Source organism: Homo sapiens, chromosome 10 (assembly GCF_000001405.40).
Source record: "Homo sapiens chromosome 10, GRCh38.p14 Primary Assembly".
Taxonomy (NCBI): domain Eukaryota; kingdom Metazoa; phylum Chordata; class Mammalia; order Primates; family Hominidae; genus Homo; species Homo sapiens.
In genome coordinates, this window is record NC_000010.11 from 47,286,147 (window position 1) to 47,299,274 (window position 13,128).

The following is a 13,128-nucleotide window of genomic DNA, read 5'->3' on the forward strand; positions in this document are numbered from 1 at the left end:
CAGTAGGGGAGCAGGTGCAGAAGGAGAAGCAGAAGATCCCTGGAAGCAAGCTTGGTATCCCAGAGCCACTGGGGAATGCCAGCCTGAGGTCTGAGTGGAGATGCCGGATTGGGAAGTGGATGGAGACGTTCTGAAAGAGAAGGCCCAGAATAAGCAGAGAATCCTGAGCTCAGAACTTAGCAAGAAATGGAGCTGTCAGCCCAAGAGTCCAGAACTGAACCCTGCCCATAGCCTCGAGGGCTTTGAAGCCGGTGCAAGATAAGGGAGATTTCAGCCTGCACCTTGACTGCAGCCTTGAGAAAGACCCTGAGCTCAACCACAGCTGAACCACTGACCTACAGAAGCTGTGAGATAGAACCTGTGTATTGTTTTGAGCCATAATAAGTTTGGGGATAATTTGTAACTAAAACACCTTCCCTCTTCTCTCATCTTCATCTCTCCTCCTCCTCTTCCTTCCCCTTTTTTTTTCCTGTTTCTCCTCCTCTTCCTGTTTCTCTTTCCCCTCCCTCCTCCTCCTCCTTCTCTTCTTCCTGCTTCTCCACCTCTTTATCCTCTCCTCTGCTGCCTCAGTTCCCTTCAGTTAGACACAGGTGTCTCTGTGTTACAGGGACCTTGGCAGCACCAGCCCGGTCTGGCCACCTGACATTCCACCTCAGCAAACTGAAGAGCGGGGCTGTCACCACCAAGTCTGCTTAGAAGAATCCTGTGGAACAATGACTAACCCAACTTAGGATTTCTCCTGGGATTCACTGTGGCTGGGGGAAGTGTTAGGACTGGCATACACCAACCCCCTGGCATGGCACTTAGGCAGCCTCTCAGACAGGCAGCTCCACTGAGCCTCATGTGTGGTTTGGGGGAAGCCTTCTTCCACAGAAAGGAGAGAGCTGTTTCAAAAAGAAGGCAGGAAGCCATGCAGGCAGACAAAACAGCTAGCGAAGGGTGGAGTAGCAGGGTGGAGGGTAGGGTAGAGGAGACTGGGGCAAGGGGCCAGGCCATCAGAGTGCCCAAGGCAGAGCTCCAGGATGAAGGGCTGCCTGGGGCAGAGGGGAGAGCTGCTATGTCCCAGAGCCAGAGGGTGGGTGAGAAGAGGGAGGGTACATTCCACCTGCCACTCAGACCCCATGGGGAGGCGGCAGGGTGGGGAGATCCACTGATAGCTGAAGTCACCAAAGAAAGAGGAGATTGTGATGCCTTCCAGGTCATGGAGTGGGCACTGCGCTGGCTGGCACCAAAAGCATGGCTGAGGAGGCCAGGCTCAGAGGGGTTCCCAGACGTGCTCCACTCTAAGTGACCTTGGGCAGTCCCCGGTCTGTTCATTGTCTGCACCATGTGAGGTAAGGGGCAACTCGAGGGCTGCAGCAGCTGCCAACCCTTCCCTGCACTGGCAGCCTCATCTCCCCAGGTGGAAAGCGCCTGTAAATCTCAGGAGCCAGTGGGCGGGGTGCCCTGCAGGCTTTCATACTCGCTCGGCCAATGTCTGCAGGCTGCCGTGCCAGTTTCCTAACGCTGCATAATACACGTCCACAAGTTTAGCAGCTTAAAACAGCACACATGTGTTATCTCACAACTTCCACGAGCCCGGAGTCTGGTCACAGCTTGGCTGGGCTCTCCAGTCAGGTTCCCACATGGCTGCCATCCAGATATTCTCCAGGCTGCAGACCTTTCCGGAGCCCAAGTCCTCCCTCTCCCAAGCCCCTAGCAGCTGTAGTATGAGGGCCCCACTTTCCTCTGGGCTGTCATCAGGGATGGCTCCAGCTCCTAGAGGCCTATGACAGGACCCTTCGTCAGGACATGGCCAGCATGGGAGCCCTCTCTTCATAAAGGGCCCAGGCCACCATTCAAGGGCTGTCACCGGATTAAGGCAGGCCCACCCAGGATAATCTCCCTTTTCATTCCATCAAAATCAGCGGTTTGGGGCCTTCAATTAGATACACACAAAATCGCATGACCTCTGCCATATAACACAAGTGAATCCCAGGAGTGACATGCGTCATATTCAAAGGCCCCACCCCAACTCAGGATGGAATTGCTATGGGCAAATGCACCAGGAGCAGAATTCTGGGGACCACTTTAAAATCCTGCCCCCAAACCTCCCTGTGTCTCAGCCCACACTGGGTCCTGGAGCAACAACAGGGAGTAAGAAAGACTTAGCGCTCAAGGCCCTTGCTGGCCTGATGCAGATGAGACGTGGAGAAAGATTGTTCCACACAGTGGGACGTATCTTACAGGAAGACATGACTATCTCTGAAACGCAGGGGCCAGGACCTTTGCAAAGAATGGAGTCTTGGGGCTGGTTTTTGCAGGACGCTTATTCACCTGAGTCAGAGGGGCTCCCAGGCAGGAGAAATTGCTGGTGTAGGCATTGCCCAAGTCGCCATCCTTCAGTGAACCACCTTCACCATGCCTGCCATCGTTATCATTTACTTAGCTGTTTTTTAAAAAACCCACTCACTCCGTTTTACTTAAATTTATTTTAAACAGAATCTTTAAATCTCAAGTATAAATGGAAAACCAGCATTCCTTGTTATAAATAGAAGTTAACCATAAAAATAAATAAAAGAAACATGGGCTTATGAATTTCTTATGAACCTGCCAGCTGCTTTTCCTGTGAACAAGGGGAATCAGGAAGTGTGAGAGAGATGTTAGAGAAATACCAGAAGAAGAATGATATTTTTCAGAAAGGTGGAAAGGGAATAAGGAAGTAAGCAGTTGTCATGTTGGGACACATGGCCACTCTAGGTGCCTGGGTCCTGCCATCTCATGTGCAGCACCCCAGAACCAGGCTCAGGGGTGGCAAAATGAGTGTGGCGGGTTTATGAGGCCAGAACCTAGGAACGTCACCACCCGGAAGGGGTGAGAGAGGCTGCTGGACAGAGGGGGAAGTTGACTGGAATGCGATTACAACGGGGGCTGTGGCTGTTCCCACAGGTAGCTCTGGAGTTGGGATGGTCCCTCAGTGTTGTCCCAAATTGAGACTAGGGAGCCCAGACTTTTTTGTACAGCCGTGTGGTCCCAGCTGGGAGATGCAGCGGCCCTGGGGAAGAGCAGGCATGGCCACGGGCTGGGCAGCTCCTTTAGGCTGCAAAGGGCAATTCCTGGGGAGGGTTTCAGCCAGGAGCCATCAGCAGGCACCACCCCTGAAAGCTGGGAAATGGGGGCCTCAACCCTGAAGGGTAGAGCTGGGCAGCTCCACAGTGTCCTCTACAGGCTTCCCTCTCCACAGCTGCATCCACTTGTTTTGTATAATCCGGTCCTACCTGGGAACAGCTCCCCCAGGATGCTCCCTGGTCTCTTTTCCTGGGAAAGCTTACAAGAGGAAGAAGGTTAAAGGGGTGATCACAGTACCTGTGCTGCAGCTGGGCTCAGGACCATGGGTACTCACCAATTCCCTCCTCTGCCACCCATTCCAGGTTCTCTTCCACCTTGGCTAGTGCCTCTGCTTCTCTAGGGGCTCACCTGGTGGGTGGCGCAGACTCACGCCCCAGAGAGTTGTCATGCCCTTCTCAAGCTGTGGCTCCTTCCCTTGTCCATTTGTCATCAGAATTGGGCAGGGAGGCACCAGGAAATGACCCAGTAGGTCACCTGGATGCTAAAGACATCCTCCCTGTCCCAGTGTGTGACAGCACAGGTTTGATGACCTGTGCAGGATGGAGACTCCCCTCCTTCCCACCAGTCTCTAGACGTAGGAGCTGGTGGTGGTTGGCAGCACCTGTCACTGAACATGAAAAGGGAATCTTGCCATGTCCCCTGGAGGAAGCATTCCTCCTCTGGGCACCAGGACCTTTAGACCCACTGTGCCGAGCATTCAGGCAGCACAGATTCCCCTGGTGGGCCACTAAGTGTGACGATGAGCAATGCCACTCCTATTTCTGTGCCTTGGTTCCTGGACCCATGATTTCTACTGACTGAGACACAGCAACACATATTGACCATTGGTTTGGGGTGAGTATTGTGTTGTGGAGGATGGCCTCCCACCCTCTCAGAGCATCCTCTCCAGATGGTGCTTCAGCCGCACTTTCCAATGCTCTACCACGGAGATGCGCCAGAACTGGTATATCCCATTGGCCTGTGTTCACTGTGGTGCCTCCTTTGCTGCGAGGTGAGTCCTTTGGTTCCATGCTCTGTCACACAGGATCCTGAAGGAGGATATCAAATGCTTTCTAAGTTTTGTGGTGCTGACTGAGGCTCTGCAGGCAAAAACAGCAAACCAAACCCAGAATATGTGTAGACTCCAGACCAGACGAATCACTGCTCTTTCCAGGGTGGAAAGAATCCAGTTAATCATCCTTCCACCAGGTAACTCGTGTGCTCAGCCAGGGGCAGGCCATATCACAGGCTTGGCATTGGTCTCCCTTGCTGGTTGGCTGCACACTGGGAAGTGGCAGAGCTAGATTGGCCCTGGTCAGTTGGCACTCATGCTGCCATGCTATCCACAGCTCCCATTCCTGCCACAGCAGCTCCAGGCAGGCACTCATTCTGACTGATGGCAGAGGCTGCTGATGTCAACTGACAGAGCCAGTCTATATCCTTGGCTGTCTAGTGTTTCTTCCACAGTGGGTACTCTCTGGTGGACGCTGACATGCAATATAAAGATCCTCTCACTCCCTGCCGACTCCTGTAGGCCTATTCATATGCCTTGTCCACAGGCCTCCGTAGCCCTGACATTTCAGATGTTTTCTTCCAGTCCCCAAATCAACTAATCAAGCCATTTCCCACTGCCCCAAAATCCCTCAGGTCACTTTTCTTTCCATATAAGGTGGATGACCAACTGTACCCCCAAAGCTCTGCCCATAAGGAGGATTTCCCTTCATTGCTGCTGTCTTTCAGGGTCATCCCTGAGTTAGGATACAGTGCAACAAAAGTCCATTTTTACTTTATACCCATATACCAAGTCTACTTCTCCCTGCGCCAAACTCATACATTTTCCTTCTCCATCACCTTATCATAAGGGACCCCCACGTGGTCACAGGTATGAAATGAAAGAGAAGCACAGGTGCACAGTGGTAGATGGCCTGGAGGTATGAGCCACCTACTAGTGCAGCCTCACTGCACCCCCAACACTGCTCATGTGCATCCCAGATGGACCACTTCCATCTTTGATGAGTTACTGCTGGGCCCACCCAAGCTTATGGACCATGTAGACATGGTGGATCTACAAGAACACAGCTCATGACAGGCAGTTCTGGCTGCATGATCACCTGATGGTGCATGATTAAGCTCTTCATCTCGAATGAAGCCCAGTATCAGGAGGTGCTTTTCAAAGGGCATATAATTCTCTGCTGCAGATGGCTTGGACTCGCTCCTATTGAACCTTGCCACAAATCCCACATGATATCTGTCTTCCACAGATACCTGTAATACCACAGGTCTGACAGCTCCTATGATCCAAGCAGCTGGGCTGCTTGCTCACAGCCTAGACAGGTTGCAGATTTCTTTCCTGCTCTGGGTCCACTCACAGCTGGCATCCTCCTGTGTCCCTCTGGGTCAGAGTAGCATTCACAACGATGGAACTTGTCATCTCCAGAGCCCAAAAAAGTGCCAGGAATTGTTTATTCTTAGAGATGGGAAGTGCAAGATACAATGTGTTTTCTATTTTGGAGGGAATGTTCCAAGTTGCTCAGGCCAAACCTCTATGTTTGGATGTTTTGTCTCCTCCAAATCTCATGTTGAAATGTGACCTCCAATGTTGGAGGTGGGCCTAGTGGGAGGCGTTTGGGTCATGGGGGCAGATCTCTCATGAATAGCTTGGTGCTGTCCTCGCAATAATGAGTTTGTTCTCACTCTGTGGGTTCACATGAGACCTCGTTGTTTAAAAGGATCTGGCACCTCCTCCCTCTCTCTTTCATGTACCCCCCTCACCATGTGATCCCTGCTCCCCCTTCACCTTCCACCATGAGTGGAAGCTCCCTGAGGCCCTCACCAGGAGCAGATGCTAGGGCCATGCTTCTTGTACAGCCTGAAGAACCATAAGCCAAATAAACCTCTTTTCTTTATAAATTACGCAGTCTCAGGTATTCCTTATAGCAACACAAATGGACTAACACACTACCTCATAGTCTCAGTGATGAGGTTCATGGGGTTCATCTCCCACCCTCTGGAGCACAGGCATCTTACCAAGTTCTCTAAAGTATTCTTACTGATTACTGATTCCACTTCTTACTTATTCATTCTGGTTAACACAATGTCATTAATACAGAGGACCAATGTTATGCTCAGTGGAATATCCAAATGATCCATATCCATTTGATCCCTCATAACAGAGGTGGTACAGTTAACATGGCCCTAGGACAAGAAATACACATACTAGTAAATGCATACTGGGACCTGCCCCATGGGAATGAAAACTGCTTCTGTGTTCTTGAATGGGATGAAAAAGAATACATCCACCAGATCAGAGGTGGCATACCAGATTCCTGAGGCCATGTCAATCTGCTCTGCCAAGATCCCACATCTGGCACAGATGCTGAGGTAAGGGCTACTCACACATCACTTGGTGAATTTGCAGTCATTCTCTAGCATACGTCTGGTTTTCTGTAGGGGACATACTGGTGAATTAAATGAGGACAGTGTGTAACCATAACAGCTGCATCCTTTAGGTTTTTAAGGATGGCACTAATCGCTACCATTTCCCTTGGGACACGACACTGATTTTGATTTATTAATCTGGCCAGGACAGGGATGAGGGAATGGTTTCAGACACTTCTCCTTGGACTTCTCTACTATGGTAACTCTTACCCCACAAGTTTCAACTTGCCTTCCCCACTCCTCTAACTCTTGCCCTGTAAGCCAAGGAACCAATGCAAAGTTCTGGCAGCTACCAAGGATGTTTGTTGCAATTCTATATTTGAGGTGTAAGGAAATCGCTGTGGATGAGTCCGCAAGCCCAGCGAGCTGGGCTGCACCAGGATTCATTGATCATCTGGTTTCCACAAAATCCACTCTAGCAGGGGAGTTGTAATGAGGCCTTGGGTCCTTCGTATCAATATCAACCTGGACCATGTGTCCATTTATTCTTGAAGTGTCTGGATGTTTCCCTTCCCTCAGGTTCAGTGGTTGCCTGAGTAAATGGTGATAGGTCCCTTTGGGGAAGGATTGGAAATCACCACCATCTATCCTTGCTGTGGTGTTGCAGGCGCCTTCCTCCTGAGGTCCCAGCCTCTCCCTCACTCAAAGTGTTCATGTATAGAAACTGGCTCAAGCCCATCAAAGAAGTGTGACCTTTTTTGGAGTGGTTGTCCTCAGCCTCATTTATCCATCTTTGATTTGTCTTAGTTTGTACAAATTGAATGGTGCTCTTGTGGGCTGTCCATCAGTATTACCCCCAGCGACTGCAGGTTTGATTAAATGTCTTCATAGCTCCCCATGAGTTGGGAACCCTGACTGAAATCTGACTGCACCTCTCATTTTGATAATTGCATCTACTTTGATTTGCACAGCAAAATACTCCATTATTTTGGGATCCTTTCATCCTCATTTCTGCTAGGGAGCCCAGATCAGTAACAATACCCTCTACCCTCAGCCCCAGCCTACAGATAGAAGCCATCCCTCAGCTTTGCATGTTGCTGGTATCCCTCTTACCAGTGGATTCCTTATCACTTTGGTAAATGGAGAGTCCTCTGAGTCCTTCCATGGAACATATAGGCTGGTGGCTTTCCAGCCTGCGTACCATTTCTAATCCAGCATGTCTGCTCTCTGAGCCTTTAGTCCATTCTTCTATCACTTACCACAGCTATTTCAGCGTTGACACATCACTTACTGCAGACCATTGCTTTTTCCAAGTGTCCAACGGCCAACCCATAAGCATATCAGCCCCGTACCCTAAGGCACTTGCCATGGTGGAAAACCGGCATCATGGGACCGTGCTCTTAGACTGACAAACTCTCCCTTATCCACTTCCAAATCCAGTCTCCCTTGATTCAGCACCCTTGGGACCCATCCCAATCATACTCCCTCAGGTCTTGCTTATACACGTTGACTCTGCAGATCCTCCAGTCTACCATATTCTTCCCCTTGGTGGGCCCGGTGTGTCCGGAGTTGGTTCCCGCCACTGGGTTTCTGATCTGACTGACTTAGGAATGAAGCCGCGGACCTTCACAGTGAGTGTTACAGCTCTTAAAGATGGCACAGACCCAAAGAGTGAGTAGTAGCAAGGTTTATTGTGAAGAGCAAAAGGACAAAACTTCCACAGCATGGAAGAGGACCCGAGTGCCGCTGCTGGCTGGGGTGGCCAGCTTTTATTCCCTTATTGGTCCCCTCCCATGTTCCATTTCTGTCCTGTCAGAATGCCCTTTTTTCAATCCTCCCTGCGACTGCCTACTCTTAGGATCCTGCTGATTGGTGTGTTTTACAGAGCGCTGATTAGTGCATTTTACAGAGCGCTGATTAGTGCATTTTACAAACCTCTTGTAAGACAGGAAAGTTCCTGATTGGTGCGTTTTACAATCCTTTTGTAAGACAGGAAAGTGCCCCAAGTCCCCCCTTGACCCAGGAAGTCCAGCTGGCCTCACCTCTCACCGAGACTTCCCTGGCTGGGCGAAGTGGTGACATAAGCCCAGGTTTCATCTGGCAGCCAGGGGACAGGAAAGGGTAGATTATGAGAGGGGCGCACACTACATCTTTATCATCTTCAAGCAAGGTAGGCAGAGCCCACCTCCCCAGGTCCAAAGTGTTCAAGGAAGTGTAAGGTTTTAAGACTCTTGAGTACATCCATCAAGATGCCCCCACTCCAAGTCTCAGGGCCCCACCCCTGACTTTGGCATAACAGAAGTGCTGGGGTTAAGAATCAAACCATTTCTGGAGCTCTGCTATCTTAATATGTAAGTCCTGGGCCCAGTCCTCAGCAGGACTGGCTGTAACAACTGAGGGTTTCTTTATATGGTGCCATGATCCTCCAATTCTCACACTCTGCCTTCAATTAGTGTTTCATCCTTCTCAATCTTTTATTGTCTATTTCTAATGCATCCATGGCACTTGACAATCCCACTGTCTTCAGAATTATTCCTTCCCCTGAACCTCTCTAACCCCTAAGAAAGTGACCCCTCCAACTCACCACCACAGCATCAGGCTATGGGGACTCCAGTTACAGCAGCCAGAGTCCTCGTTGCCACTGAATGTCAGATGATGAGGGCCTCAGATGCCACCTTAGAGCCCACTTCCTTAGATCACTCCTGGCATGAATTATCTCAGGTTGGATATCTCAGGGTAGGGACTCTGAGATCGAAATTTGAGTGCATAAGTATATGGGAGAGTGCTAGGGGGACCACACCAATAAGGGAGCTGAGGGACTAGGATAACCAGAGAGAGAAGCTAAATGACACAGTGGTATAGACAGCCTCGGAGCCAGGTGGCCCTACAGTGTTTTCCAGGCCCCTGCACCTAGTCACTGGCTTTGGCTGCCCCCGGAGTGTGAGATAACTTGAGTGAGGCCGCTCCTGTCGGCCTTCCTGAGGAAGGGCTCCACTGTGAGCCCTCAGCAGACAGAAGTCCTGGCAGCTGAGGCCATGAATGTCTGGGTGCTGGCAACAGGGGAATTAGCTACAGCCACCTTAAAGCCATGGGGAGGGGCCTGGGATGAGAACCCAAGGAATGAAGCTGCTCTAAATTCTGGGACAGGAGAGGACGCATAGGAACAGAGGCTGGAGAAAGACTCCACCAGGACAGAGAGGCCAGATGGTTAGGGCTTAAATGCCAGGACAAGGACAGAAGGCTTTATCCATCCTGTGAAGGAGAGTAGTCAAAGGTTTTGAGCAAGATTATTTGGGGGTGATAAGGAGACTGCGAAGCCACAAAGGGGTCCTAATTTTCAAAGTGTCCCCTTGGCCACCTCTCCCATAGACTCCTCTTAACTGGCTGGCTCCGGCCAACTCTCTCTCCCTCTCTCTCTCTCTCTCTCACACACACACACACACACACACACACACACATACACACACACACACACCACTGCCCTCCTCCCCCAAATCGGTTCCCTTCAAATTGTCACTCCCCACAGTGCTGCATTCATGCATCAGTTCTAAATAGCCCCACTGTTCAGCTTTAAAGAGAAGTAATACCAATTCCCATGTTTGCTCAGAGAGCACCATATTTCATCAAACCAGAGGCCATGCCGGCTCAGATTACTGACCGAGACAATGTTCTGTAATCCTAGTTTATTCACATGTCACGGGTATTTTAGCAAAACAGAAATGAATGGCCCCCACCACCCTAGGAAGTAACGGGAGAGTTGGGTCCCCGCCCAGGGGAAGTCATGCTTTCGCTTGCCACGGTTCTCAGAGGAGCCGACTTTGATTTTCTGAGCTTTTCCCAACTTTAAGAAAGAGAATATGGGCTGAGGAGGAGTCACAAAGTGGGTAGTTATTTCCCTGTAAAATGTTAACTCCACAGATGGATTTTGCCAGAGCAAAAATAAAATCTGTCATTGATTATAAAGTCCTTTGTGCTTGTTATTTCACAGATTTATTACACTCTGGCCCCGCGGCCTGGGGAGGCCCTGGGGTTCCTGTCTCTAGCACCCCACAGCTCATGCCCCAACCGGAATAGGGACTCACTTGCATTTCTTTTGTCCTTAAGGGCCAGGAGCTTTGAAAATCTAGATGAAGAGCTGTGAATCTTCCTCCCAATCTTTGGACAAGAACCCGCAGACACAGACAATAACAGCATAACAGTTCCTTGGTAGAGGTCTGTGACTTCCTCATCAAGGAAACATTCCTTTTCTCTTTCCTTTTTTTTTTTTTTTTTTTAGTTGTTGGCACTGTGCACTAAGAAACGAATTTTCTCTGCAGAGTAAGGAACAGCCAGGCTTGAAACTCTCACCAAATCTGCCAGTCTGGGTCTACTTTAAATGTGCTACAACTTCTTTCAAACACACAATAAATGAAAAGACCAATCTGAATGATCAGTGCAATTTAGTTAGTATCATGTCACTTTAAAATCTGGCCAAGAATCCTCATACTATCCTGCTCTTGTCCCCATCTTAGAGTTGAAAAAACTGAGGTCCAGAGAAGGCAAGTAACTTGCTTAACATCACACAGCTAAGTAGCAGTGAAAATAGGGACATGAATCTAGTCCCAATTGACTCCACAGGGTCATGGGAGCACCCTCACTTCCAAGAACATGTTGACATGGGGCCACAGAACCAGCGGGAGAGTACAGGAGCTACAGCAGAGCCTGGAGGCCAGACTTCTCACTTAAAGAAGAGGCTCCTAGGATTCCAGAGAGGCAATGGGGCTGCCCCAGGGTTACAGAGCTAGTTAAAATCACACACTAGCTCTGCTACAAATTAACTGGACGATATCATGAAACAATCGCTTGGGAACATTTATTTGGGGAGAGGTTCTTGATGAAACCAAATGAGCTTGCTTTTCAAAACTACCCAGGGTTTGTTTTACTTCCTTACTTGGGTGCAGAGCTTCATAACTATGGAGTCTCTTCACTCCTTGCTCATGACTTTCTGAGCTGAAGAAAACCCTGCTATCCCAGAGTGCACAGCAAGGAGGCCTAGAGGACTGAGGGCCCCCAAACTACTTCTCACCTGTCTGGAGAGAACACTGTTCACTCCAATCAGCAAGTTCAAGACCTCAGCACCCCTGGCAATTGCAGTGTACGGAACTCCCAGAACCATGATAATTTTGTAGGAAGCTGTCAGAAATCACAGATCCAAGGACTTGTCTCCACAATCTGCCATCTCAACTCTTATTCTGAGCTGCGGCCTGAGCTATTAAAAACAAAACATTCTCGTGGGCAAGCTCCACAATTAGCCTCATTTCCACACTAGAAAAACTGTTCTGCATGAGCTGAAATTGCACAGAGATTGTTTCTTGTCATAGTGATGCTGTTTCAAGGGCCGTGCTGAGAGCCAGCGAGGATGTGACCCAGTGGTAATCTGAATTGCTTCACCAAACACATTTTTATCCCATCATCTCGGCTACATGAAAGGGGGCCACAGTGCTCGTGTTCAAGGCTTTACAGTCCCGCTGTTCAGCAATAAAATGAGGCAAGAAATATTAGCCATCCCTGGCTGATGCCTTAATTCTTTCCCAACAATGTCAGAGAATCTGTACCCTACAGGTTTTAGTGCTGGCTAAAGCCTGACCCTCAGGCTGGCTTGAATGGAGCGGGAATGAGTTAAGGAGAGCCAGAAGGCTTTAATGGACACGGATTCCAAATAGCCCAGCTTGTGCGGGCCTCCTGCGGACTCACCCTCCTTTTCAACAGGCCTCGATTGTGTATGGCCCCAACAGACACAAAACTACCCATGAGCAGAGGTTACCCCCAGCCGGTGCAGGTCAGAGGCATTCTGGGGGGGAAGGGGAGAGGGGGACAGAGGGGAAGTGAGGGGCACATGGAGAAGGAGGGAAATGGGGGTGGGAGTGGGGGAAGGGACCACTGAAAGATGGTCTGGATCATTTATAAGGAGAGATTCACTAAGTCCCAGGCTGAGACCCGATCATCTCACTTCCAGGCAAACCATTTTTGAAAACTGGTTCAGAACAAATGGGAGCTATCCTAATGGGAAGTTGAACACACTGTGATCTAATTTTCAAAACAAATAAAATGCTTTTCTCTGGTTTTCCAAAAGCTACAAGTCTGAGGTTCAGAAGCTCTTAATAGGATGGCCTCTAATTTGACACTGCAAGATTTTAAAAAATTACAAATGGGTCATGTTTTACACACCAACAGAAGCCTTTTCCAGCAATTTTTCAATTATTGCATTGTGAGCCCTCCAAGAAAAGTAACTATTTTGGCTCACAGAGCCCAAAGTTACCAAGTAAAGGGAACAGCCTGTTCACAAGTTTGCAAATAGTCCTTTGAAATGTAGCATAGACTGTATCTGGGAGCTTTCTGGAAGAACATGGGCTTGACGTGGTCCTTTCCTTCCCTCTCAAGGGTCCTTAAACTTTTTAGGTGGGTCTTGGGCCCCCTTCTAAGTCTAGGGAAGCCAGTGGACCCCTTCTTAAAAGAATGTTTTTAAATGCATAAAATAAAATATGCAGAGTTACAAAGGAAGACAATTACGTTAGAATAGAGTTATCACAAATATTTAAAAACAATTTTGTAACATAGTAACTATGTTCCTTTTTGCTAACTAACTAGCAGTAGGCCTAACTGAAGTGGTAATGAGCAAACATG